The 27,215-nt window shown below is 36.1% G+C and overlaps 1 protein-coding gene across 14 annotated transcripts in view; it reads left to right on the forward strand.

The window, feature by feature from the left end:
- Window positions 1-27,215, forward strand: part of CRB1 (crumbs cell polarity complex component 1) — a 276,952-nt gene that overhangs the window by 225,576 nt on the left and 24,161 nt on the right. For 7 of the 14 annotated variants that reach the window (NR_047563.2, XM_047416573.1, NM_201253.3 and 4 more), the window contains 5 exons: window positions 375-922; window positions 2,370-2,535; window positions 7,627-8,533; window positions 11,468-11,596; window positions 15,087-15,213. Coding sequence is in view for 12 of the 14 variants with exons in the window: in XM_047416573.1 (XP_047272529.1) it covers window positions 375-922; window positions 2,370-2,535; window positions 7,627-8,533; window positions 11,468-11,596; window positions 15,087-15,213 (1,877 nt within the window). In the remaining 2 variants the exon portion in view is untranslated. Of the gene's footprint in view, window positions 1-374; window positions 923-1,894; window positions 2,030-2,369; window positions 2,536-7,626; window positions 8,534-11,467; window positions 11,597-15,086; window positions 15,800-27,215 lie in introns of those variants that run through there. The other 7 variants (NM_001257965.2, XM_017000852.2, XM_011509367.2 and 4 more) reach the window with 5 other exon arrangements.

The raw sequence follows: 27,215 nt of genomic DNA on the forward strand, positions 1-27,215 counted from the left end.
ACCAGGTTGGAGTATAGTAGTGTCTGATATACCACCATTAAGGCCCATATTTTAGGGCAGCAAAGGGGAGATTCTTTAGTTTATCAGTGCAGAGATCTTTTTGGTCTGTTTTGTGATCAATATGCCTGAAGTGTAAACTACAAACCAAAATATAGTTATTTTAGGGTTAAAGTAAACTCAGAAGTCCAGAAAGAGGCCAAATCATTATTCTATTTAATAAACCTGTCCTGAACTTTAAAAGCTATGTATGAGTGTGTATGCTTGTGTGCATGTGTGTGTGTGAAATGTATAATTTTCGTCTTCCATCCCTTCTGTCTTTTGAGCCTTAAGATGTTTCTTTTTTTTTCTCCTCCTCCTCTATTTTGACATTGAAGAGTATGTGGCAGGCAGATTTGGCCAGGATGACTCCACTGGTTATGTCATCTTTACTCTTGATGAGAGCTATGGAGACACCATCAGCCTCTCCATGTTTGTCCGAACGCTTCAACCATCAGGCTTACTTCTAGCTTTGGAAAACAGCACTTATCAATATATCCGTGTCTGGCTAGAGCGCGGCAGACTAGCAATGCTGACTCCAAACTCTCCCAAATTAGTAGTAAAATTTGTTCTTAATGATGGAAATGTCCACTTGATATCTTTGAAAATCAAGCCATATAAAATTGAACTGTATCAGTCTTCACAAAACCTAGGATTTATTTCTGCTTCTACGTGGAAAATCGAAAAGGGAGATGTCATCTACATTGGTGGCCTACCTGACAAGCAAGAGACTGAACTTAATGGTGGATTCTTCAAAGGCTGTATCCAAGATGTAAGACTAAACAACCAAAATCTGGAATTCTTTCCAAATCCAACAAACAATGCATCTCTCAATCCAGTTCTTGTCAATGTAACCCAAGGCTGTGCTGGAGACAACAGCTGCAAGGTAATGATTACTCATACAAACTAGGTATATACTGTATGCTAAACTTTTACTTTATTAAAAAGATAACTTATTAAAACCATTCTTTGTATATAAAGATGATGTTACTGACCCACCAGTATAGAATAATATTTCATCTATATTGTTCCAACAAGACTGTGAAATTTACATTGAGCCATAGAAATGAGGCCTTGATCTTACTGGTATCAGGATCTATTTAACTAACCAAAGTAACTTCGGCTATAGGCTTCTCTCACCCTCACAGCAATCAAATTACTTAGGTATAATAATATTTCAATTCCTAAACTCCTAATGGCACACCAGAGGTTTAACTGAATTAACTCTTTTTGGATGATATTGTTAACTTTATTTTAAATGCCCAACTACTATTGTTTTGAACTTTTATTAAGTCAGAAACAACAAGAGAAATCTGAGAGGTAATTTCCTTCTGGTAGTTGAAATCTTCCGAAATATAATTTCTCAAAGCCCAAGCTTTACTTTAAATATTCTATGTGCTCTTCTAAGAGCTGCTTAAATACAAGAACTTGTCAGCTCTGCATGACCTTTCAAAGGAAAAAAAGGAAACGCATTTCTGTGTGTTGAGCGTTTGTTGAGCTCCAACTATGGCCCTACACTAAGCTTGGTTCTAAATATACACAAATGAATTATTGTAACATAGTTATGGAACATTTTCAATGTACTAGGCACTATTTTACATGGATTAATCCACTTAGTTCTATTGAAGGACTACTGTGGAAAGCAAGCATTATTGTTGTCCCAATTTACATTATTTACAGATGAAGTAACTGAAGTTTAGAAAGGTTATGTAACTAGCCTAAATCATATGTTAATAGTAGACCCAGGACAAACACAGTTCATGCTCTAATAAATTTCTTTTTAAATACTTTCATTTTGAATACTTTTTGTGAGCAACCTTGTGAGAACTCAAATAATAATACTATGTCTCTGATTCAGAGGCAGACCAATGTGGGAAGGGCACTCACTGAGTTGGGATCCAGAGGACCTAAGTACCAAGTTTCACTGTTTCGCTTCTGTGTAGGATCTTGGGCAACTGGAAACACCTTCTTTTTATCATCTATAAAACCAGGAGTAAGAATCCCTTCCTCAAATGATAATTAGTGCATGTGAAAAAGTGCCTGGTAATTTGTAAATTACAGAGGACACTGCTATACTTGAAAAACCCTCCTTGTGCTATGGATCAATTTTATATCTTTTCTCTCTCTCTGCCACCACTCTGCCCTTTTAGAAAGGAGTTGGTAATGGCAGTAGTCATTTTTATTCTATTTAGTTAACAATGGATCTTAAAAGTTTAAAATGTAAAGATGCAGGGAAATTAGCATTTTAAAAAAACAGATATGTGGTTTCACCGTCAACATTTTTCTATTTAGTTGCCAGTGCTTTTTATACCTTTGATTTCTTTTCTGCTCAGTCCAACCCCTGTCACAATGGAGGTGTTTGCCATTCCCGGTGGGATGACTTCTCCTGTTCCTGTCCTGCCCTCACAAGTGGGAAAGCCTGTGAGGAGGTTCAGTGGTGTGGATTCAGCCCGTGTCCTCACGGAGCCCAGTGCCAGCCGGTGCTTCAAGGATTTGAATGTAGGTAGAGTTCAAACCTACCATCTCACCAGTTAAGTTGCGACATTTGAGTTGTTCCAAGAGCAAACACAGAAAAAGAGTATAGACAAAGCCAGTTTATTAAATTAATCTATGGTTGTTTCCCCTATGCGAGTAGGCTAATACTGACTGGCCTCTTGCCTCATCCTGCCCTTGGTGGCTGTCTGGATAGGAAATGGAGGTCACAGCAACACTAAACCTAGATGCTTAATCATTTAAAACTGATTTCCTGAAAAAGAATTAACAAGGCAATATTTGAATTTCCTTCCCTCATTACTGGGAACACAGAATAAATATGTGCATGTTACGCATTGCCATTTATTAACTATGAGGCCTCAGGCAATTCATGTGATCTCCATCATCTAAAGCTTCCTCACCTGTAAAATAGGGAGAACACTTTCTACTTCTTCGGTTTCTTTGTGATGATTCTATGACCTTATCTGTAAATAATCAAACATGTTAGGCACTCAATTAATGATATCTATGAGAATTTCCCTCACTGTGAAAAGTTTTCCTGTCCATCTTCTGTACTACAAAAAACAATTTTCCAAATGTTAGCAATTTGAATACTATACAGTATTCACAATTTTGACATATCCACCCACTAACTATACTGTTATTTATATTCTGTCTTCTCACCTACTTCAAATAATTCACAGTCCAGTTAATAGCCAACCCTCTAAGTTTGCACTGAATTCTAATTTCTTCCCCTTATTCAAAGATTGTGCTCCTAAAACTTTTCTCTCACACACCAGTATCAATTTTTCCATCATTACAAAAAATTTCTTTTGACACTTCCTCACTCCTATTCCTACCAGTTACCATCCCATTTCTCTGCCTTAAAGAATAGGGAGTAAAAAACCCTTTAATGTGTTGTCCGCAATATGCTTCTGATATTCTCACTCCATTCTCTCTTTTGCTCCATACAGTCAGGCCCACACACCACCACCTCCCTCCTGAACTCTCTTAACCCAGAGATTCACAGGTCACCTTTGTCACTTCATTCAGGTTTCTACACAAACATCCTCCAACTTGGCTTTATTTTTATTTTTATCTCTTATTGTTCCTTGATATTTTGTTACATATGCATTGATATATTTGTCTATCATCTCTTTCATCATGAGAATATAAGCTTCACAAGGCAAGAAACTTTTCTATGTGGTTTCTTGCTCATAAATATTTGTAAAATAAATAAATTGATATTATTTTCTTCAAATTTACTTAATATTTTCACTTAACTGCTGTGGACATTAAGTACATTATCAGCTTACTATAAAAAAAATACATGCTGGATGCAGTGACTGACACCTATAATCCCAGCACTTTAGGAGGCAGAAGTGGGAGGACTGCTTGAGCCCAAGAATTTGAGTCTGCAGTAAGCTAGGATCACACCACTGCACTATAGCCTGTGCAACAAAACAAGACCCTGTCTCAAAAAAAAATAAAAATAAAAATAAAAATAAAAATACTGCACTAAAATAATGGAATGGAACTAGAGGATAGTTTGGCTTAAGGTCAGTAGCAATGACATACTATCTAGACTGGGCCCCGAAGTAACTGAGAAAAAGAGAAAAATGAATTTACTTTTATGTTTCTGTACTTCAAAATCATATTATTTAAAAGACCTGTATGAAATACATTACACTGTATATACACTTGGGGAAGTTCTCTAGAAAAACGTATATACTTTTATGTTTCATACTTAAGAAATAGGTACCACACATGTATAGAAAACATGATGCGTTGGCATAAATAAGGTAAATTGGTTTTTAATGGGGCACTAAATTTTAAATGATACTTTTTCATTCTACTTCTTTAATTATTCTAAAATAATTTCTTAATTATTAATTTTACTGTTGATCTTTTGATAGAAATACTAAAGTTGTTAGTCTCAGCTATGTTCTACCTGGTGTCCGAATTGTTTTGAATATTTTCACAGGAAAAATGAATAGGATTTCTAAAAACAGTGGCAGCCCCAAAACAGTATGCACACTGCTCTGCAATCTACACATCAAACAGTTTAGGAGCTGGACAAACATGTGTCAGAAGGAAGTGAAGTGAACTTTTACTGCTACAACATTGCCAATAGCAAAAGACTAGTAAGTCCAGCTCTGACACCCCCAGAAAGTCCCAGTAGCATTTTTTAAGTATAGCTTATCTTAGTGTAGAGAGAAAACGTAAATAAATAGGTGTACAATAGGAATTATAAATCAATTTTCTAATTGACAGGTATGAACCCAGAATTCACTTTTACTACTCTCATAATTTTAATTTTATGTAATCTTATGACTCTATTATATTTTCTTTCCAACTAAAATATATTGAAAAGATTAAGTCTAATGGAACAAGATACTCTTGAGAGTACAGCTGATAAATTGCTCTGAGTTTGCCTTTAGGACTTTAATCATCTCTGTATCGTACCAAGATTTAAACATTTACAACTCACCTTAAATACAGGTGTGCTTATTATGGTAAAGTTCCCCAAAGAAAAGGTGAAGTACAAAAGTGATTAGGTATATCGTGGTTTTTACCCAGATCAGAAGACATGATTTCAGTGTGCTCAGCAGAGTTAGTAAATATATTTATATAGCATTATAGACCATAGTCTTCATTTCAGAGTTGGAGAATTTTGGAGATTTTTTATTTTAACATTTACTTAAAAACATGTAATGAAACACTTGTTGCTCTTTTTTTCCCTAAATTCCCAACTCCAAACCTGGTTGAAACACACACACACACACACACACACACACACACACACACACACACACATAGTAAAAAACAATAAGATCAAAGGAATTGATTTATTTAATTAAGTCAAATAATACACTTGAATGATACACTGAAATTTTCTCCTGCTGTGGTTTCTAATCATTATCTCACTTTTCAGGATACAGGATGGAGTTATTTTCATAGAGTATTCATTTAATTATGTTTACTGAGCACCTACTATACATCAGGGACACACAGGCTTAGGCATAAGGATTTAGTGATAACCTAGACACAGAGGATCCTTGGTTTCATAAAGCTTATGTCCTAGTGCAGAAAGACAGTGAAGGAACAAGTAAACAAATAAACGTAATTTTAAGTGGTAATGGGAGCTATGAAGAAAATTAAGCATAGACAGTGAATGCAGGGAGGCGGTTTTTTTAACTTGGATAGTCAGGGAAAAGCTTCTCAGAGGAGGTGACATTTGAGCGATATTAACACTAAGAAAAGCCAAGTATAAGAAGATCTGGGGAAATAATATTCTTGGTATAAGTAACAGCAAGTATAAAAGGCCTGCGCTGGGAACAAGCTTGGTGTATCTTCAATGAATGGCAAGAAATTGTGGCTGTGGCCTGTGAATGAATTGGAATTGGAGAGTTAATCAGGGGCCAGATCATGTAGATGCTTTTTTTTTTAACATGGCAAAATTTTGTCATGAATTTTTTTTTTTTTTGAAGAGAGACGGGGTCTTATTATGTTGCCCAGGATAGTCTCAAACTGCTGACTTCAAGCTATCCACCCTCCTCAGCCTCCCAGATAGCTGAGATTATACCCACAACTGGCTCAGATCATGTACACTCTTGTGGTTATGTTTAGAATTTAGGATTTCTTTTAAAGATGATAACTAATGGAGCTTGACTAAGGAGTGGTTGTTATATTGATCTGCAGAGCAGTAGAAGCAGGGACACTAAGAAGTAATTAGTCTTAATGAAAGATGATGGTGGTTGGGTGTAGTGCCTGATAATGTATTAATAGTGTTTTCAGGTCATTTGCTACTGAAAAGTGTGATACAATAAAAGTAGATAATTGGCCACTGCATTGAGTAACATGGAGGTCATTCATTGTAACCATGAAAGTGGTTTTAGTGAAGTGACTGGGACAAAAGCTTGAGTGGCATATATAAAAGAGAAAAATGAGGAATAATAGAGTGAGACCATGGGGATATAAAATTAGTAAGTTTTGCTGGTAAAGAAAATAGACAAAAAAGCAGCAGGATTGGGGGATGTCAGGATACTGTTTCGTGTGTATTTTTATTTTTTAAGATTAAAGCAATTACACATATTTGTATATTGATGGGAAACAACAAAATGGAAGGGGAAATGATGATGCAAGAAAGAAAAAGAATGCATAGAGGAATAATATGTTTAAAAGGTGAAAAGCAGTAGGACCCAGTTTATAACTGGTAGAGTTGACCTTGGTGGGAATACAGACAATACGTCTATTATAGCAGGATAGAATGCAGTGTGGATCCAAATAATATTAGGTTTACAGATTTGATGGATATCTGAGGTAGCTCTGTTTTTTCAAGAAAATATTAGGTGAGATCATAAGCTGAGACAGAATTAGATATTTTAAGAGACAGAACAAGTTGTTTGTTAATCATCTTATAGAATGGGGAAAAAAGTTTTTAATAGAGAAATGCAATAGGATTGCCCAAAGTGCTCTGCTCACATATAGCATGAGAGCAATTGATATGGTTGTATATGAAAGTACTTGGGTGTAGATACAGAATTTGCAGCTTGTCACATAATTGGAGTTTTACCAGGTAAGTAAATCAGTCATTTGGAATGCTACTTTTAACTGCCTACTCATCAGCTTAATCAGAAGCCAGACTCCACTGTTAATTTTCTGGGTCACCATAGCTAGATTTGTGATTTCTTTTTGCTCAATTTATTTATGTGTAAAATGAATTATCAATGCTTTATTTGTGGGAGCAAATGCAAAATAAAAATTGGCATGCATTAGGATTTCACTGGAAAAGAAATGTATAGTTTTGGTTTTGCTATCAGACCATCCCAGTTTGATATTCTGGCTTTGTTATTTATTAATTACATGACCATGAACAAAATTACTTAAATTCTGTGAGTCTCAACTTCTTCTTCCATAAAATGGGGATAATAATAATACCTGTATTCAAAAGTTTGATATTAGAAATAATATAAAAGCAACTAGCACAGTATGTAACATGTATCAAATAGTCAATATGCAATGTTATTAACACAATGATCATTACTATTAATAACGGTAATTAAGCAAACTATAGATTTAATAAAGTTATTGATTATTATCACCTTCTCTCATTAGGTATTGCAAATGCTGTTTTTAATGGACAAAGCGGTCAAATATTATTCAGAAGCAATGGGAATATTACCAGAGAACTCACCAATATCACATTTGGTTTCAGAACAAGGGATGCAAATGTAATAATATTGCATGCAGAAAAAGAGCCTGAATTTCTTAATATTAGCATTCAAGATTCCAGATTATTCTTTCAATTGCAAAGTGGCAACAGCTTTTATATGCTAAGTCTGACAAGTTTGCAGTCAGTGAATGATGGCACATGGCACGAAGTGACCCTTTCCATGACAGACCCACTGTCCCAGACCTCCAGGTGGCAAATGGAAGTGGACAACGAAACACCTTTTGTGACCAGCACAATTGCTACTGGAAGCCTCAACTTTTTGAAGGATAATACAGATATTTATGTGGGAGACAGAGCTATTGACAATATAAAGGGCCTGCAAGGGTGTCTAAGTACAATAGAAATCGGAGGCATTTATCTCTCTTACTTTGAAAATGTTCATGGTTTCATTAATAAACCTCAGGAAGAGCAATTTCTCAAAATCTCTACCAATTCAGTGGTCACTGGCTGTTTGCAGTTAAATGTCTGCAACTCCAACCCCTGTTTGCATGGAGGAAACTGTGAAGACATCTATAGCTCTTATCATTGCTCCTGTCCCTTGGGATGGTCAGGGAAACACTGTGAACTCAACATCGATGAATGCTTTTCAAACCCCTGTATCCATGGCAACTGCTCTGACAGAGTTGCAGCCTACCACTGCACATGTGAGCCTGGATACACTGGTGTGAACTGTGAAGTGGATATAGACAACTGCCAGAGTCACCAGTGTGCAAATGGAGCCACCTGCATTAGTCATACTAATGGCTATTCTTGCCTCTGTTTTGGAAATTTTACAGGAAAATTTTGCAGGTGAGCATAAAGTCCATATGAAGCTTGGTCTTTGAAGCTATACTCTGCATCACTGTTCTTGTCAAATTGGAAAGCTCTCTCCTCAAGGTATACATATATACTGTGCTGAACAGGGTGACACTGGTAGCTTCTGTCACAATTTGGTCATGTTCAGATGGGATCTCACTTACCAGGATATTCTACAGGTCAGAAAGGTAGTGTTTAAATCAGATTTTCAGCAAAATATTTTCTCAGTCATCTGTGTGAAAATATGTCTCATGAACTGTAGCCCCAGGGTCTAACAGTTTCAAGGCCTCGGGAAACAAATGCATTTACAATAAATGCAAAAGCTGAAATGTAGTATTGTTAGGGAAGGCATGACTTCTATTGCTAAAATAATGCCTTGAGCTATTTCAGGCAGGTAAATACTCTAAAATCCCGAAAACAGTACATTAAAGTATACAGCTGACTCTTGAACAACGCAGGGGTTAGAGGTGCTGATGTGCAGTTGAAAATCCACATTTAACTTTTAACTCTCCCAAAACATAACAACTATCAGCCTGGTTGACCACAAACCTTAACAATAACATAGTCAATTAACACATATTTTGTATGTCATATTCTGTCTTCTTACTATAAAGCAAGCTAGAGAAAATAAAATGTTATTAAGAAAATCATAGGAAAGAAAAAATAAATTTACTATTCATTAGTGGAAATTGATCATCAAAGATCTTTATCTTGATTGTCTTCATGTTGATTAGGATGAAGAGGAAGAGAAGGGGTTGGTTTTGCTGTCTCAGTGGTGGCAGAGGTGAAAGAACATCCACATATAAGTGAATCCACACCATTCAAACATGTGTTGTTCAAGGGTCAACTGTAATTTCAAAACAGTGGAATTATAATTCTCAGACAAATATAAAATAAACATGTTTTAATTATTCTGTCATTAATGAGGAAACTAGTAAGATATAAAAACTAATTCAAAGGACAATCTAAAGAATATGTATACGTATATATACAAACAAGAATGAGTGAATGAATTTATTAATAAATACAAAACTGTTTAATATCCCATAGGGCAAGAAAACTAGTATTTGAAGTCATCTTCAATACTGTGATAATCATTTGTATGGCTCACTACAGATAAACTAATTTGCATTTTGACGAACAAGATTTTCATATTAATATTGTTTTCTACAACTTACAGAATTGTAATAAGGCACAGACCACTGCAAAAGTGGATAATCCTGGATAGTCCTTTATGTAAACCCAGCAGTGCATTGAAAGAATATGCAGTGATTTTTTTTGCCCATTTCAAAGTATTTCACATTTTTCTACAACTACAAAAGCAGTATTTTAGTTCTTGTAACTACCTCCATTTCAAGCTATATAAACAGAGATAAGAAAGACTATTTTTCTTCTAAGTCACATTGCTTCAGTATTTCCATGTAAGAAGTTATTATTGTTTTTACAACTTACACCGCTTTAAATTTACTAAATAATTGAGTCATTATGGGGAGGTGAGAGGGTTATTATTAACAAGTAATACATTCCAGAACTTCGGCAAGAACACCTGGAATGGGTTGGCAGCCTGTAGACATTACACTAATTCAGAGGTGGTACCTTAATTGCATGAATCTCCTAGCAAACATAACATGTAGGCATACCTATAAGAAGTTGTACATCTCTCCTTAACAGTTACTGTTCTGAGCCTGTGAAAGCAAGGCACTGTTGTAGGTGCTAAGTGTTCCCAACAGGTAACCTGCCTGTTTAAAAGCAAGAAGAATTCAGGATCAAATTTAGTATATTTCACTGTGAATTTTGATAAGTAAAATAAACACATAGGCCCTAGTAACTACTTCTCCAGAATTTTTTTCTGCCTAATTCATTAAAGTCAAGTTCTGAAAGATGAAAGCCCTCAAAAATACCTTCTAATGAGATTCAGGAATTGTTTATTAAAACCAAGATGTATACAAAGCTTCATATTTGCATTGCTAATTGACCTCTTTCAAAGCTGGTTGACATTTTTGGCTCTTTTGAAAAGTCTTTATGATATCCTTCTTTTTAAAGTAGAATTGATTAGCTCTTGCGGGAAGAGACACACTTAGCATCATATAAGCTAGTCTATCCACATTAGCTGCAGCACACACAACAGAACAAAATTCAATTCATTTTACACTTCCTGAATATTTATTAGTTATCTGATACCATGCACATACACAGTGGGTCAAAGGGCCTAAGCAACACTATTAAACTCTTTAAATATCAGTCCCTTCACATTACTAGATTTTGTCTTACAGTGAAGTTCCGCTTAGCTTCTAATACTTGTTCCGCCTTTTATGAGGATTCTTTAACATGTAAAGCTTTGTTGCCATATCAGAGAGCCACACTCTGAATTCACATGCAGTTACCATCGTGTGCTATATACAAAGCTCCTGGACAGCATTTGGCTTGCATTCTTCGAAGCTATGAATTATTACATAGGGAGCAGCAAGTCTTGGCAGGGCAACTGGAGTTCAGCTCTGAAAGCCAATAGAGAAATCACATGAGTGCTTGGGTAGTAGAGTGCTGTCCTTGCTTCCTGGCCTTTATAGAGATGCAATTTTCCTATGGCCTTTATTGATTTATTAGCAAAGCAGCAGCAAATCTAGTTATAGCAAGTTCTTTTCCAACCCAAAATTTATTGCCACCCCATGGCATAGATCTTATCTCACAAACGAAAACTGTGTAGAAATGGAAGATGTATAGCCATGCTTGTCACAGAACCCTCCAGCAGGAGCTTTTTACTGGAGAAAGTGATTCTTGCATAATGCAGCACAATTAAGCATTTGTAGCTCCTCCAGCCTGAGTACTTAATTAGCTTGGCATTGACTACATACATGAATTTATCAGAAAACTTTTCTTGAATGAGATGAACAAGATGAACAGCTGTGGCTCTTGCTTTTATCTCTCTAGACAGAGCAGATTACCCTCAACAGTCTGTGGGAATGAGAAGACAAATCTCACTTGCTACAATGGAGGCAACTGCACAGAGTTCCAGACTGAATTAAAATGTATGTGCCGGCCAGGTTTTACTGGAGAATGGTGAGTCACATTAGAGCCTTCTGGAAGAGAATTCTGAGCTAAAGAATGATGGGATTACTCAAAGTTCATTTTCTCCTCTAATTTTTTATCTCAGTTCCCATAGGAAAATCTATGCTGAAATAGAGGTTCAGACAGAATGAAACAATAAAAAAGAAGAAAAACTACAGTTTAGGTCAAAGGGGAGAACATTTTATTAGACAAAACTTCAAATAGGGAAAAATGATTTTTAAAAAATGTATAATGTGCTATTTTTCTTTCTTATAAGTACTTCTGAATTCATGTCTCTTTTTTGTTGCTAACTCTAATACATGATGCAAATATGGTTGCTGTCGAGGTAAAATAAATTACAACTAAAAGATTGCCTCATAGAATTGCCTACAACCCAAAAGTATATATACCTTATCCATATGAGTCTACTTTTCCCAGAGAAACTCTTCAACTGTTCTTCACCTCATACAGGAATTCTTAAAATGGAGTTGGTCAATGGCTTCAGGCAATCTGTGACCTGCTGAAAATACAGGAAAATTAGAATATGTATTTGAGTGGCTAGGGGTAAGTTCAGGGGTAGAAATAATGCATACTGAATAGCTTTTATCAGCTGCTTAAAGGGATTTATGTCCCCAAAACAGTTATGAACTGGGGCTCTATAGAATACAGATACTATATAAGCAGATAATTGTTAACCTTTTGTTTTAGCACTGTGCCATGCACCTTACAAATACCATCTCTAATTCTTATAGCTCTGTAAAGAAGGTTTCATGATTTTTATTTTGCATATGTGTAAACTGAGGCTGAGAGGTTGAGTGACGTATAAAGGGCCTATCCACACGTTTGCTGCAGTAAGGTTGAGCTGCCTTCAAAGCCTCTGCTCTTCTATTTGATGTGCCAGCATAACTGTATGAATAAATCTTTGCTCAACACAATTTCTTTTTTTTTAATGAGAAAGGTGTTCTTCCATCTCATGTATCATCGAGGGTAAGATAAGTGATCTCTGATCAAACTTCCTACATTGAAAAAATTAAATAAACTGAGCTCAGACATATTTGACAAAGATATTTTGACTGACTCAATATTTCCCATAAGCATAGTTAATAAAATAATGGATATGTGAGTGCTCCCTGGCAAGTGCCCTTTGGATTAATTGGAATTTTCTGTTTTCTAGCTGGCCTCTTTTGCATCACAAAGACACAGGTCTTTTGCCATTTTTACAAAACAGCGGGGAGTCTAGGGTATACCTGAATTTGACCCTTTTAACGTTCATTTTCATTTGCAGCCTGCCTTCTGTGGTTGGTTCTTTGTGGTACAGGCATTCCAAGTCTATATGTGCATGAAAGGAGATAGCCTTGAGTCACATTCTGCTTTCTGTTGCACCAATTTTGGTTCTGCAACTTATTAACTGAGATCGTTTAGTTGTATTCCAATTCCATGTATCTTTCAAAATATTGCAAATATTTTCTTGTCATTAATTTTGAGTAATCCAACTATTGTCAAGGGTGGGTTGCTTCCTGGTTGAACGTCACACTTTCTGCCTAATGGCACAATGCATGGAACTCATCCAAAACCCTGGATTATTTTTCTCTGCCACTCACACATTGTTTCTATTTACAACAAATATCTCCCTGTCTTCTGATATTTATTAGTTTACAAAATTTATATTTGACATTTAAATTCAGATATATTTGAAATATAGAAAGAAAAGAAAGCTTAGAGTTTTCCTTCTTTTCCCAGGAGACTTTTCAACTGGAAAAACTTACATGATGCTAGATATTTCTAAAACATTGAACCTGTGTTCAGTAGATTCTATGCTTTCAAAGTCCTTAACCATCATTACTTAATTGACTAGATGTTAATGGATTTATTTTTACTTTTCATGCATTAATTAACCTCTAATAAAAATGCCAATGATGCTGATAATACATGTGTATCTATTGTTGACTGTTTAGTTCAACAGAGAAATAGGTGAGAAAGTGATGGAGTAGTTAGAGGAAGACAGAAAATAGTGGGCTATCTCCCATGGCCTAGGGAAATGTGACTTCCATCACATCCAAGGATATTGAAAAGCTATCCTCAAATAAATTGGCTTCTCTCCTGCCTTGGTTAAACCTTCAGCTTAATAGTGTCATCCTGGCAGGTTTTGAATGATGGATGGTGTGAACACTCTGGCCCACCCAAGACCGAGAATGCTTGGCAGGCTCCTGAGGGTTGTCAAGTTTTGCTCAGATCTAATCAGAGAAGTCTCCCTCCAGTCCAGAAGCATAAGCCAAAAAAGGAAAACAAAATGTCTCAGCTATGCTTGGTATCCAAAGGGATAAGGAGCTGTTTTTCTTGGAAGAAATCTTTGTTTTCCTTTATACCTTGGGCTGGCCTTGCCCCACTACCTCACCCCCTTTCATTTTGAGCCTAGTGATTAGTCTCTGACCCATACGTGCAAGTTTTACATTTTGGAAGGTGAGGGAAAGAATAAGGGAAAATTAAAAATTGTTTACATACAATTTCAACATTATAAGCTGCACTATAGAGATCTTGGAGCTAAGATTTTATATAAATTTTCAAAAGTAAAATAGCCGCCTTAGTTGCTGTTCTATCCCAAGGTCTTAGCAGAGTGTTTGTCACATAGTATGTGTTAAATAAATATCCACTGTGTGACTGAATACATGATTGGTGACTTAATCCATGAATATACAGAAAAACAAATTCTTGCTGGAAAATTAGTTTAAAAAAATGACAATATCCCAGGAAGAAGAAAACTTCAATTTACCTGAGACTTGATGTCACTTGTCTTGGAAAATTTGGCTTTTGAAAGTCATTCTACCTCAACATTTCAGAAATTATGCTTGGCTATTGGAACACAGATTTATTAGCAAGTACAATCTTCTAATTATTGATTTTTGCTTTTGTTATAAAAAAAGGATTTCCACAGAAAATAATTCAAAATCTCTCAGAATAAACCTCTCCTCTTCCTCCTCCTCCTCCTTCCCTCCTTCTTTTTTTTTTTTTTTTTTTTTTTTGGTTTCTCTTTGGTGGGCTTTTTCCTTAGCCTGAGGGCTCTGATGCATGAGGATCCTGATAGCCTGAATGTAGGTCTGCCCTGCAGACTCCAGATGGCAAAATACAGCCTCTCTCCTTGTGCCCCTAATAAACTGAACATTTATATAAGGTGGCAACCACACTAATGCTCTTGAGCATTGACACTGGTGTAGGCATGGCCCACTTTTCTCTTGGTTTCTAAATATTTGCATCTATTTTCTCATTCTAATTAATTCCGTGTGTATATGTATATATATGTGTACAGATTATTTCCATTAAACCCCAAATGTGTTAAAGAAATTTTAAGAAACATCTCCGACATTATCAAGTATGTATAAAGTATGTGTGGATGGGTAGATAAGACTGTGCTGTTCCAGAGAGATAAGGCAAACTTTTTCTTCCCATTTCACAACCAATGTATTCAACAGGGACCTGGGTTTCTGCTGTTCTGTTTATTTTGAAGGTGTGAAAAGGACATTGATGAGTGTGCCTCTGATCCGTGTGTCAATGGAGGTCTGTGCCAGGACTTACTCAACAAATTCCAGTGCCTCTGTGATGTTGCCTTTGCTGGCGAGCGCTGCGAGGTGGACGTAAGCAGCCTCTCCTTTTATGTCTCTCTCTTATTCTGGCAGAATCTTTTTCAGCTTCTTTCTTACCTCATTTTGCGTATGAATGACGAGCCAGTTGTTGAGTGGGGTGAACAGGAAGATTATTAACATACATTTGAACATTCCCAAATGAAAAAAAAAGCCATTGAATTTCAAGAAATGCCTTGATTCATTTTAGATCTCTGGGGAAGAAAAAGGAAATAAAAACCATCTCAATAATTAAGGTAAATTCAAGGCTTATTTTAAACATATCAGAAGCACTTTGTCTGTGTATAAAATATTTTCCTATTCTAACTTTAAATATGAAAAAAGTGTTCTTAATATAACTAGAAATATCTCCTTATTGTGTGTATTTAGTACAAACATATTATCATTCTCAACACTTCTATATGTGAATGACCACTGCAATTTCTTCCCACTCCATTTCTGGGTATTTTCACATTTTAAGTTGCCCTCCATCACTATGATTCTATTTTCATTTCTGTTCTTTCATTCTTATCTATTATTTATGACACAAAAATTGAGAATTACAGGCCAGGTGTGGTGGTTCACTCCTATAATCCCAGCACTATGGGAGGCTGAAGTGGGCGGAACACCTGAGGCCAGGAGTTTGAGACCAGCCTAGCCAACGTGGTGAAAACCTGTCTCTACTAAAAATACAAAAGTAACTGGGAGTGGTGGCACATGCCTGTAATCCCAGCTACTCAGGAGGGTGAAGCAGGAGACTTGCTTGAACCCAGGAGGCGGCCGTTGCAATGAGCCAAGATTGTGCCACTGCACTCCAGCCTGGGCGACAGGTGAGATTCTGTCTAAAAAAAAAAAAAAAAAAAGAGAGAATTACCGATTAAAATTACTGATTATATTCATCTATGTTTTTACATGAAGCTATTCAAATGAATTGTTACGTTTTCTCTGATATATGATTAAATATATAAAGAGAAATCAGGAATTTACATCGAGTCCCTAAATTGTAGAAAAACAATTATCTAGTATCAGTACTCAAATTATACCTCCCTGGTATAATTTCTGATTCCATAAAACTGTCTCTCTAACAAAGTTACAAATAATCCTTTCTCTATTTCCTTTCCTGCAATACTTTCCCTTTTCCTAACAAATAGAACAATTTTTCTGTTGTTTCTAAATTTATGAGCTCCTTGACTTTTCTATCAAATGGACTAATTTCAGTTGCTTTTCAATGAATATTTAATAAAAATAAGCACTGTAGTTTATACATAAATTTAAAAGTATATATTGTAAAACTTGAATTTTCTTAGAAGCATGGTTTTCTAAGATTTGCAAGTAAATTTATTTTCTTAAGTATCTTTCAGAAAAAAATATGAAAGCATAGTATACATCATAACCAAAATATATTTGACATTATGATTTTTTAAAATAAATGTATACCTGAAATAATGGATCTATAAAGTATACTAAGATATGCAAAAATTAATATATTCTTTATTATAAATATTTCAGAGATTATAAAATAATAATTTAAAAAAACTTTCTTAATGTTTTTATTGTTTCCACCAGTACGTTATCATTTATGCTAAATATCTTTGTGTAGATATACCCTTCCAAAGAAGACGTTATTTGTGTTCATTTAAAGGAAAAATAGTTTGATCCTATGAATTAATTCAGAAAGCAACTAAAATAACAATGGCCTGCCAAATGTCATTTTGTAAATATACGTCTATGACTTTAGGAGCTGTCCTGGTTTGAAAACATGAGGACAGTTTATCCATTGGATGCCATCTATTTAGTCCCAATTAAGAAAGTTGTTTTTTTGTGAGAATGACCAAGGTAAATTTAAATATACCATTCAAACAAACAAGGACAAAATAATATCCTTGTTATAGAGTACATGTAGCATATAGTATGAAGTAATATACTACAAAAGCAAAGAAAGTGTATTCTATCTTGCAATAGTAATAGACAATTTTTATATAGCAAATTCATATCCTTTGGAGTAGTGACAATCATTTCAAACTGGGAGCAACTAATTGTGAAGATTTTCCTTCTTACTCATCCATTTTCTTCACATCCAAGGCTGAACGTGTGATGCTGCTGCTTCAGATGATTTGTTCCAAAGTTAAATTTTGTGACAAAAGACATGGGGAAAACCTTCCCATCAATATTTACATTCACAAGTATTTGCAATAAGCATAAAATAGATTATAGCCAGACCATATGTATAGTTTTCACATTTACTCCCTTCTAGACATACCTGTACTTATGTACTTACAGGCTGTTCCAAATGTAATATGTTCTCTACCAAATGTGGTTAAGAAATATTCACTCACAATTTCTTTCTGTGTACAATTCTGATGCCTCTGTTGTCACTGTAATTGTCAGTTGCTTTTCTGTTTTCCAAATGTCTTCTTGTCATAAGGTATCTGACTTTAAAAAATGTTTTCCCTTTTCTTTTTATTCTTCTGTATTTTCCAGCTGCATGTGTGTGACTATGGCTTTTACATATTTGCACAGAAAAATAAAACCTTTGTTTCTGTATCTTCTCTTTCTCATCTTCTAATGGTACTTGTACTTGTTTGCCTTGACTATGTCTTGTATGATAAAATTTCCACCAGCCATGCATACACACACACACACACACACACACACACCACAGAAGTACTGGTACTGATCTTCCTGAATCGTGATCTCTTTCTGTGAAAGTGTCACTGTGAGTAAACACTGTGGTATCCAAGTAAAGTTGCATGTACTCTGGCAAGTAATCCTCTAGTTGGCATTCTAAAGTTGATTACAACCCTAATTGTTCTTATTATTGGTTTACATTGTCCCTGCCAAAGCTAGCCATAGTTCAACCTGGTTCTAAAGAGGGGCTGTTTTACCTAAATGACAGAAATTTACACTAACTCCTCTGGACCAAGCTTCTAAAACATAGCCTATATTTACTTGAATAAAAACTAATTCCATTTTGCTGCGTTTTTCAGATTTAACATTAAACTAAACAGGGCTATGTCTCTATGTTTGGCCATGCCTCCTTTTTTGTGTGCGTACGTGGCAAGTGGGTTTTTATCACCCTCCCTTTTGCAAAATAGGAAAATAGAGAGAATAGGCAAATTTGGAAAAATCAGTGTTTGAGGAGGAGAGACAACTAAGTTCAATTAACACCACTGAGGACTTACTCTATGCCAGGAACTGTGATAAGCCTTTTTAAATACTTTATCTTTTCAATTATCTTTTTTCAATACAAGGTCAACCAAAATCTTTTTATCTTCCAAATTCTTCACTAAATTTTCTTAAAATATCTTTTGGCCATTTGTAGGTTTAAAAATAGAAACTGTTAAGCTTTAATTTTGCAATATTAAAATTAAACTTCTTCTGCAAATGGTGCTGCATAAAATTTGAGTTTAGTGAGTTAGGCAGGAAATCAGTGAAGAAATCTGTTTCTCAACTGCCAGTATTATTACTAATATAAACTATTTTACTTCTCTGCTTTTGTACTTATTCAACAAATGTTTAATGTATGTCTACTATTTGCCATACTGTATACTAGGTCCTGGGAATAGAACTATGATTTAGACACAATGCTTGCTCAAAATAAGCTGAAGTTATGGTAAGGAATGTGGGTTAGACTGGGTGTGGTGGCTCACACCTGTAATCCCAGCACTTTGGGAAGCCGAGGTGGGTGGATGACCTGCAGTCAGGAGTTCAAGATCAGCCTGACAAACATGGTGAAACCTTGTCTATACTAAAAATACAAAAATTAGCTGGGCATGGTGGCGCATGCCTGTAATCCCAGCCACTCAGGAGGCCGAGGAAGGAGAATCACTTTAACCCGGGAGGTGGAGGTTGCAGTGAGCTGAGATCACACCATTACACTCCAGCCTGGGTGACAGAGTGAGACTTTGTCTCAAAAAAAAAAAAATGTGATTAAACAAATAGTCTTAGGATGTAACTAGGATGTAACTGAGTGCCAGCTGTAAGGGAGCATATAAGAGAGGCATTTTGTCCAGTCTTACAGGTGGGTATAGAAGGTCAAGGAAAGTTTCCTGAAGCCTAAGCTAAGACTTGAGGGAGTTAGGCTGTGGAAGAAGCAATGGCACAGTACTGTGTGTTTCAGGCAGAAGGGGCTGGAGAGGTTGTGCACTGTGACAGGGATATCACAGGGTGGCAGTGCTGAAAGATGGGGCTGTCGAAAGAAGCAGGAGTAAGCCCTTATACACCTTGGCAGAGGCCTTGGTTTTTCATCATAAGAGAAATGGAGAATCCTTGAAGGGTTTCAAACAAGAAAAATGTCATGATTATACTTGCACTTTAGAAAGATCACTTGGGCTTCTACATAGAGAATGGCTTAAAAGAAAGGCAAGACTGGACCCAGAAAGACACAGCTAGGAGGCTGCTGCAGTGATAAAGAAAGAAGGAGAATTTGCACTACCATATATAGTTGTAGAGAAGATAGATTTTAAAAGTTTGAAGCATGATTTTTTGGGAGAAGCTGTGGGTCTAAGGGGGTGATAACTTAAATTTGGTGGATAATATTTTTAATATCTTTGTTGATTGGATAAATGAATGAATTTAAGATCTGTTGGATATCTAAATACAGTTATTAATCAGTGTGCATATTCCATTCTGGAGTTCAAGAGGCATATCAGGGTGTATATATTTGGGATATATATTATAGATCTATTGAGTGTTATATTCCATTCTTTGTATATGTAATCCATTTGTATTATTTATTTATTGTTCTGCAACAATATTACTTCAAACTTGGCAACTTAAAACAACACACATTTATTATCTCACAGTTTCTGTGTTCAGGAGCCCAGGCATGGCTTAACTAGGTCCTCTGCTCAGGGTCTCACAAGACAGCATTCAAGGTGTCAGCCAGAGATGTGGTCTCATCTGAGCTGAACCAGGGAGGGATCCACTTCCAGAGTGAACTCAGTGATCAAGTTCACTGAGGCTGATGGCAGAGGTAGCCTTCGATTCCTGAAGGCAGCCCTCAGCTCCTTGCCACTTGGGGCTCCCCAACATGGTTGCTTACTTCCTCAAAGCCAAAAAAGGAGGGAGAGATGCCAGCAAGATGGATGTTACCATTTTATATAACATAATTATGCAATTGTGTACATATAATCGCATACTTCTCCTCACCTTTGTCATAGTCTGTTGGTTAAGAACAAGTCACAGGTTCTATCTACACTGAAAGCGAGAGGGGCACACAAGGTGTAAACACCAGGAGGTGGGGACCAACCATGGGGGGTTCACTTAAAAGGGTGTCTGCCAGCTGGTTGCAGTGGCTCACATCTGTAATCCCAGCATTTTGGGAGGCCTATGCAGTAAGATCACTTGAGTCTAGGATTTCCAGGCCAGCTAGGAAGCATGGTAAAATCCCCTTTCTGACAAAAAAAAAGAAAAGAAAAAATACAAAAATTAGTTTGGCATGTGCCTGTAGTCCCAGCTACTAAGGAGGCTGAGGCTAGGTGGGAAGATCACCTGAGCCTGGGAAGTCGAGGCTGCCATGAGCCATGATGGCACCACTGCACTCCAGCCTGGGCAACAGAGCAAGAACCTGTCTCAAAAAAAAAAAAAAAAAAAAAAGTCTGTCTGCCAAACCTTCTCTCACAGTATCTTTTTTTACTGTCTGTGCTGTATTCTGCATATATTCCCTATTGCTATCTTCCAAGCACTGATAGTCCACATATAATCCACTGATAGATTTTTCAATTTTAAATTACTTTAAAAAATTCTGACTTTTTTAAATCTTACAAATCAATCTTTTCTCCTGTTTGTGTCCTGTTTTTTTTTCTCTATAATTGCTACCTTCATTTTACTTTCACATAATTAGGAACTTATTTAATAGTGTCTTTCAGACTGTTGTGTTATTTCAAGCTCTTGGAGTGCTCACCCTCCTATTTTTGTTTCTGGGGAATTTTACTCACAACAGAGTTTTTCTTCATGTGGTTTGTTATTTTTTTATGAGCAAAAACAACTTTAAGAGGATTTTTCTTTTTCCTGGGGGGTCTTTGTGTGCTGAGTTGCGTAAATGCCCCTGACTACAGTCTTAGCTTTAGATTTTTGCTAGGATGCCAGGAGTTCCACTGGTCTAGTGCCTGTTTTTGTGCTCTTAGTTTGGGGATTCCCACAACATCTGGATAGTGTAAATTTGGTCTCCATATACAATTTGGGTTCAAGCCCTTTATAAATGTGACACAAACTGTCTCCAACTTCATTTCTTACCTGTGCTCTCACAAACTCCACTCTCCAGCCACATGAAACTTTGCACCTCCCTTTGAACTTTTCACAGCTGCCACAGCTCTTCCCTTACGTGCTGTTCCTCCCACCTAACCTGTCATTCCCTTCTTCTCTGTTTGACATACTTTTGTCCTTCCAGAAATTTCAGATCTTGTATAGACTCTTCTAGGATCCTTTCCCTGATTGCCCCAGGAAAAGCTTACTATTTTATTCCTGCACTTTTTTGCTATTTTGTACTTCTTTTTCTAGTGCTTATTATTTGGTAATTATCTATGCATGTACACACAAAAACAGCATCCAATAATAAACTGCTCAAGGCCAGAGGCCATCTAACATATCTAACTCAGCTCTACAAATGTCTGTAAAAGAATGATCACTTTACAGTAACATGGAGATCTTGAGAAGAAATTATATTGCTTCCTTATTTTAATATTTTTATTTTAATGAGGATAAATGCATAGTGTAGCTAGAATAAAATTTATCATGATACACTTATAGCTAAGTGAGAAACTGCAGGCTATTTAAGAATACAAATTCATAGTGGTATTTACAACAATGTCAAAAGAATAGCAACTATGTCAGTGTGCATTTTTATTTTCCCTTAGTTGTAACATCATAGTTATGACAGCTGCTTTAAAATCCTTTTCAGTTAATTCCAACACCTAGGTCATTTTGTGATTGGTCACCATTTATTGAATTTCCTTTTGTATATAAGTTTCATTTTTCTGTTTCTTTATCCAGTAATTTTGGATTGCATCCTGGTCATTGTAGCTTATACAATGCAGAGATTATGAATGAATTCTTTTATGTTTTTCAGAAAAATATTATTATTATTTTATTTTATTTTATATTTTTGAGATGGAGTCTCGCACTGTCGCCCAGGCTGGAGTGCAGTGGCGCAATCTCGGCTCACTGCAAGCTCCGCCTGCCGGGTTCATGCCATTCTCCTGCCTCAGCCTCTCAAGTAGGTGGGATTACAGGCGCCGGCCACCACGCCCGGCTAATTTTTTGTATTTTTAGTAGAGACGGGATTTCACCGTGTTAGCCAGGATGGTCTCGATCTCCTGACCTCGTGATCCGCCCGCCTCGGCCTCCCAAAGTGCTGGAATTACAAGCGTGAGCCACCACGCCTGGCCCAGAAAAATATTATTTTATTTTGGCAGGCAGTCTCTTAGCTGAATCAAACTTCTAGTCCTGTAGCAGTGCCCTCTGTGGTGTGTCACAGCTGCAATCTCTGCTCAGTTATTTTGTCTTTAGCTGGGTGACTTGGAGTGTACGCTACATGGGCATATTACAAGGGTGAACCAGAGATTTGAGCAGAAATCATTTTCAGAAGTTGAGGCTCCACCTCTGTAGCTGTCTCCTTTCTAGAATTTTTCCTTCACTTTCTAGCTGCTGTGGTGAACCCTCTTTTCTCTGGTTCTTCAAGCCTGTAAGATTGCAAACGTCTCTCCTAGTTTTAGTTAACTGGCATGGTGCTGAGCAGAGACTGCACTCCAAAAAAATAAAAATCACATAGTGCCCTCCGCTCTGCTTAGTTCAAATTCTCATACAGGTCGATGCATACTTTTGGTTATTATCTGAGTGCCCTCAGATTGTTGTTTTTTGCTATTCCATCTGGATTTTATTGCTGTTATATGCCGAAGGGTTACTCTAGTAGAAGCTACTTTGTCCACAGAAGTGGAAACTGTAATTTTAAGAAGGTAATCTGAGATTGTAATCGCATAGGTATTTGGTCCCAGAACAAGATACATGGTTTTCCTTCTGATTTCTGCACTGACCACATCAATTCAGAAGCGCAGGTTTTACTTCTGGGCACTACATTCCGGGGAAAACATTGATGAATGCCAGGGCCTAGAAAAGGGCATTTTAGCTTATTTTAGCAGGTTTGTTACATAGGTATATTGTGTGATGCGTGATGCTGAAGTTTGGCATATGAATGATCCTGTCACCAGGTAGTGAGCATAGTAACCCAACAGTTAGTTTTTTTTGTAAACATTATAAGGATAAACGGATATTTTGTCTAGAAAGGGAAGACTTAAGGAAAGCATGAAACTGCCTTCACATATTTGAAACGTTATCATGAGAATGGAAAAATAGATTTGTTCTATATTAATACAGAAAGCATAGGCCGGGCGCGGTGGCTCATGCCTGTAATCCCAGCACTTTGGGAGGCCGAGGTGGGCGGATCACGAGGTCAAGAGATCGAGACCATCCTGGCTAACATGGTGAAACCCCGTCTCTACTAAAAATACAAAAAAAAAAAAAAAAAAAAAAAAAATTAGCTGGGCGTGGTGGCCAGCGCCTGTAGTCCCAGCTACTTGGGAGGCTGAGGCAGGAGAATGGCGTGAACCCGGGGGGCGGAGCTTGCGGTGAGCTGAGATCGTGCCACTGCACTCCAGCCTGGAAGACAGCGAGACTCCGTCCCAAAAAAAAAAAAAAAAAAAAAAAAGAAAGCATAAATAAGACAAAGGGATAGAATTTATTGAAAGAAGATTTCAAGTCAGCATAAGAGGAAGCAAGTTAACATTAGAAGTACTCAATAATGTAATGCATTGATTTGCACCAAACAGGACTCCCATCCCTGGAAACATTCCAATAGAATCTGAATGACCGTATTTCAGAAATAGTGTAGAGAATACTTAAGCACTGATTGAAAGAGAGACATGGACCTGACATTTCTTAAGCATCTGTGATTAGCTGATTAGCACAATTCATGCATTTTCTATGTATAACATTTCTCAAGATTATGGCATAGATTACTCATGATAACAAAATTATGGGCCAGGTGGAAAAATGACATTTGCGAATTTTAGTTGAGCAAAGTGTAGTACACAGGGCTAAATAATTGGCCGAGATCACCTGATACTTTGGAGAAAGGGAGGACTGGGAATGATTCATCTAGATTTTTCAGGTCATTAATACGTTGGACCATGTTATAGTAAAGAAATGTTTGAGAATGAGACATTTCCCTAAGAATGTGATATTTTTAAATGCATTGATTTATTATGCTGCTTTCTCTGAAACTGAACCTAACACTGTCGATTCTGCCCCATTCAGAGCAAGGATGGGCTGGGCCTGGATGTTTGCCATGTGCTTCATATACACTTACAGGATTTTCTGAGCAAACTTAGAGGTCTACATTGCTTCATCCTCAATCATTTCCAAACAAGATCTGAAACAGAATCGAGGCATATAGCCAGACAATAGCAAGAGAGCAATTGGGAAAGTTTGTTTAAATTGCGCTTTTCTTCTTAATGTCATATGGTAAAATACTAACATTAGAAAAACATTCCATTATAAATTGTAGGATGTCCCTTATAGGAAGATTAAGTGAATGCTATTTCCACCACTACATATGCCACTGAAACATTAGATTGAATCATATGAACTTGCAAATATTTGACATTTTGACTGATAAAAATGACAATTTAATACGGTTAAACTGACTCCATAATAGATGCCTGATATTTGCAAGGATGCTTCTTCTAAAGTTTAGGTTGTTAATGCAGAAGGGAGAATTAAAGAGTTAAAAAGGATTTCGGGAATCATCTAATCCAACTTCTTTATGTATGAGATGAAGAATCTAAAGCTCAGAGAGAGAGAGTGCTTTATTTAGACTCTACAAGTATCCCGGTCTGTCAACCCACAGTTCAATATTCTTCCTGCTGTTCTAAGACGACGAAGGAAATTCCCTATCCCATTTGCCAGAGAGATTGTGAATGAGAGTCTCAGAGTACTCTAGGCCACTGCAGAGTCCCTGCATACGTGACCTATTTTAAAGCTACAAATTTATAAAACCCAATCAACATCAGCACTGCATTCATCAAAATGTAGTCTTAGTCTAATGATATTAAAAGTACTTTAAAGAAATATGATGACGAATATCAATTGTCATTATATAGGCCTAGGATCTTAGAGGATGTAGGAGACAAGGCTGAGTCTGGCTTGATTTCGTGATGGAAAAATGAAAGCATGTATGAGATGAAGGGACCTTACATATCAATTTTAGTAATAAATATTCACAGAAACCTTATGGGATAAATATTATAATGCCCATCTTATAGACGGGGGAAATAAGATTTAGAAGGGCTAGTTACCTGCCCCAGGGCCACACAACAAATAGGGATCAGAGCAAGGTTTAGAACCTGGGAGTACTTACTTCCAAGCCACAGGTCTTCCTAGGATGCAGCACTATCTTTAGTAACAAACCCTGTAAGTTGATTCCTAAATAAGTTACACATATGTAGAAATGGTTCAGCCACTATAAAAACCTGTATGAAGTTTCCCCAAAAAATTAAAAATAGAACTATCATATAATTTGTTAACTGTCATATGATTCATGATTCTGAGTATATATACAAAATAATTGAAATCAGGATTTCAAAGACATATCTGCATTCCCATATTCATTTCAGCATTATTCATAATAGCCAATAGATGGAAACAGGCTACATGTTCAGCGAAGGATAAATGAATAAAGAAAATAAAAATGGAATATTATTCAGCCTTAAAAAGAACAAAATTCTGACACATGCTGCAATAGGAATGAACCAGAAGTACATTATGCTAAGTGAAATTACCCAATTATAGAAGGACAAATATTGTTTGAGTTCACTTATATGAGATATCTAGAAGAGTCAAACTCCTAGAAGCAGAGGGTAGAATTATGAGTGCTAGGAGCTAGGGGGAAGTGGAAATGGGGAGATGTCATTAAATAAGTATGTGTGTATACTTGTGTATATATATATATATAATTAAATTAGTATATAAGTATATATATTTATATATAATAAGTATATATAATTAAATTAGTATAATTAAATTAATATACATAATTAAATTATATATAATTAAATTATATAACATACTTATATACTAATTTAGCATACTTACAAGTATAGTAGTATACTAATTATAAATATATTGGTATATAAATATATACATTAAATAACTGTGTGTGTATATATATGTGTATATATATGTGTGTGTGTGTATATATATATATATAGAGAGAGAGACAGAGAGAGAGAGAGAGAGGGAGAGGGAGAGAGAGAGAGAGAGAGAGACAAGGTCTTGCTCTGTTGCCCAGGCTAGAGTCCAGGGGTGTGATCACAACTCATTGCAGCCTCAAACTTCTAGGTTCAGGCAATACTCCTTCCTCAGCCTCCTGAGTAGCTGGGACTACAGCCATGTGCCACCACACCTGGCTAATTTTCTTCTTCTACTTCCTCTTCTTCTTATTATTATTATTATATTATTAATATATTAATAATAATATATTGTTAATTATTAATTATTAATATATTATCAATATTATTATTAATATATATTAATATTATTAATAATATATATTATTAATATTATTATATTATTAATATATATTATTGATATTATTATATTATTAATAATATATATTATTGATATTATTATATTATTAATAATATATATTATTGATATTATTATATTATTATTTGTAGAGATGAGGTCTCACTCATGTTGCCGAGGCTGGTCTCAAGCTCCCAGGCTCAAGCAATCCTCCTGCCCTGGCCTCCCAAAGTGCTGGGATTACAGGCATGAGCCACTCTACCCAGTGGTATAAAATTTTAATTATACAAGATGAATAAGTTTTAAAGAACAGCTGTACAACAATTGTGCCTACAGATAATAATACTGTACTGTGCACTTGAAATCTTGTTAGCAGAATCTTATGTAAAATGATCTTACCACAATTTTTTAAAAAGTTACTTACTTAAGACAGAATT

Source organism: Homo sapiens, chromosome 1 (assembly GCF_000001405.40).
Source record: "Homo sapiens chromosome 1, GRCh38.p14 Primary Assembly".
NCBI lineage: Eukaryota > Metazoa > Chordata > Mammalia > Primates > Hominidae > Homo > Homo sapiens.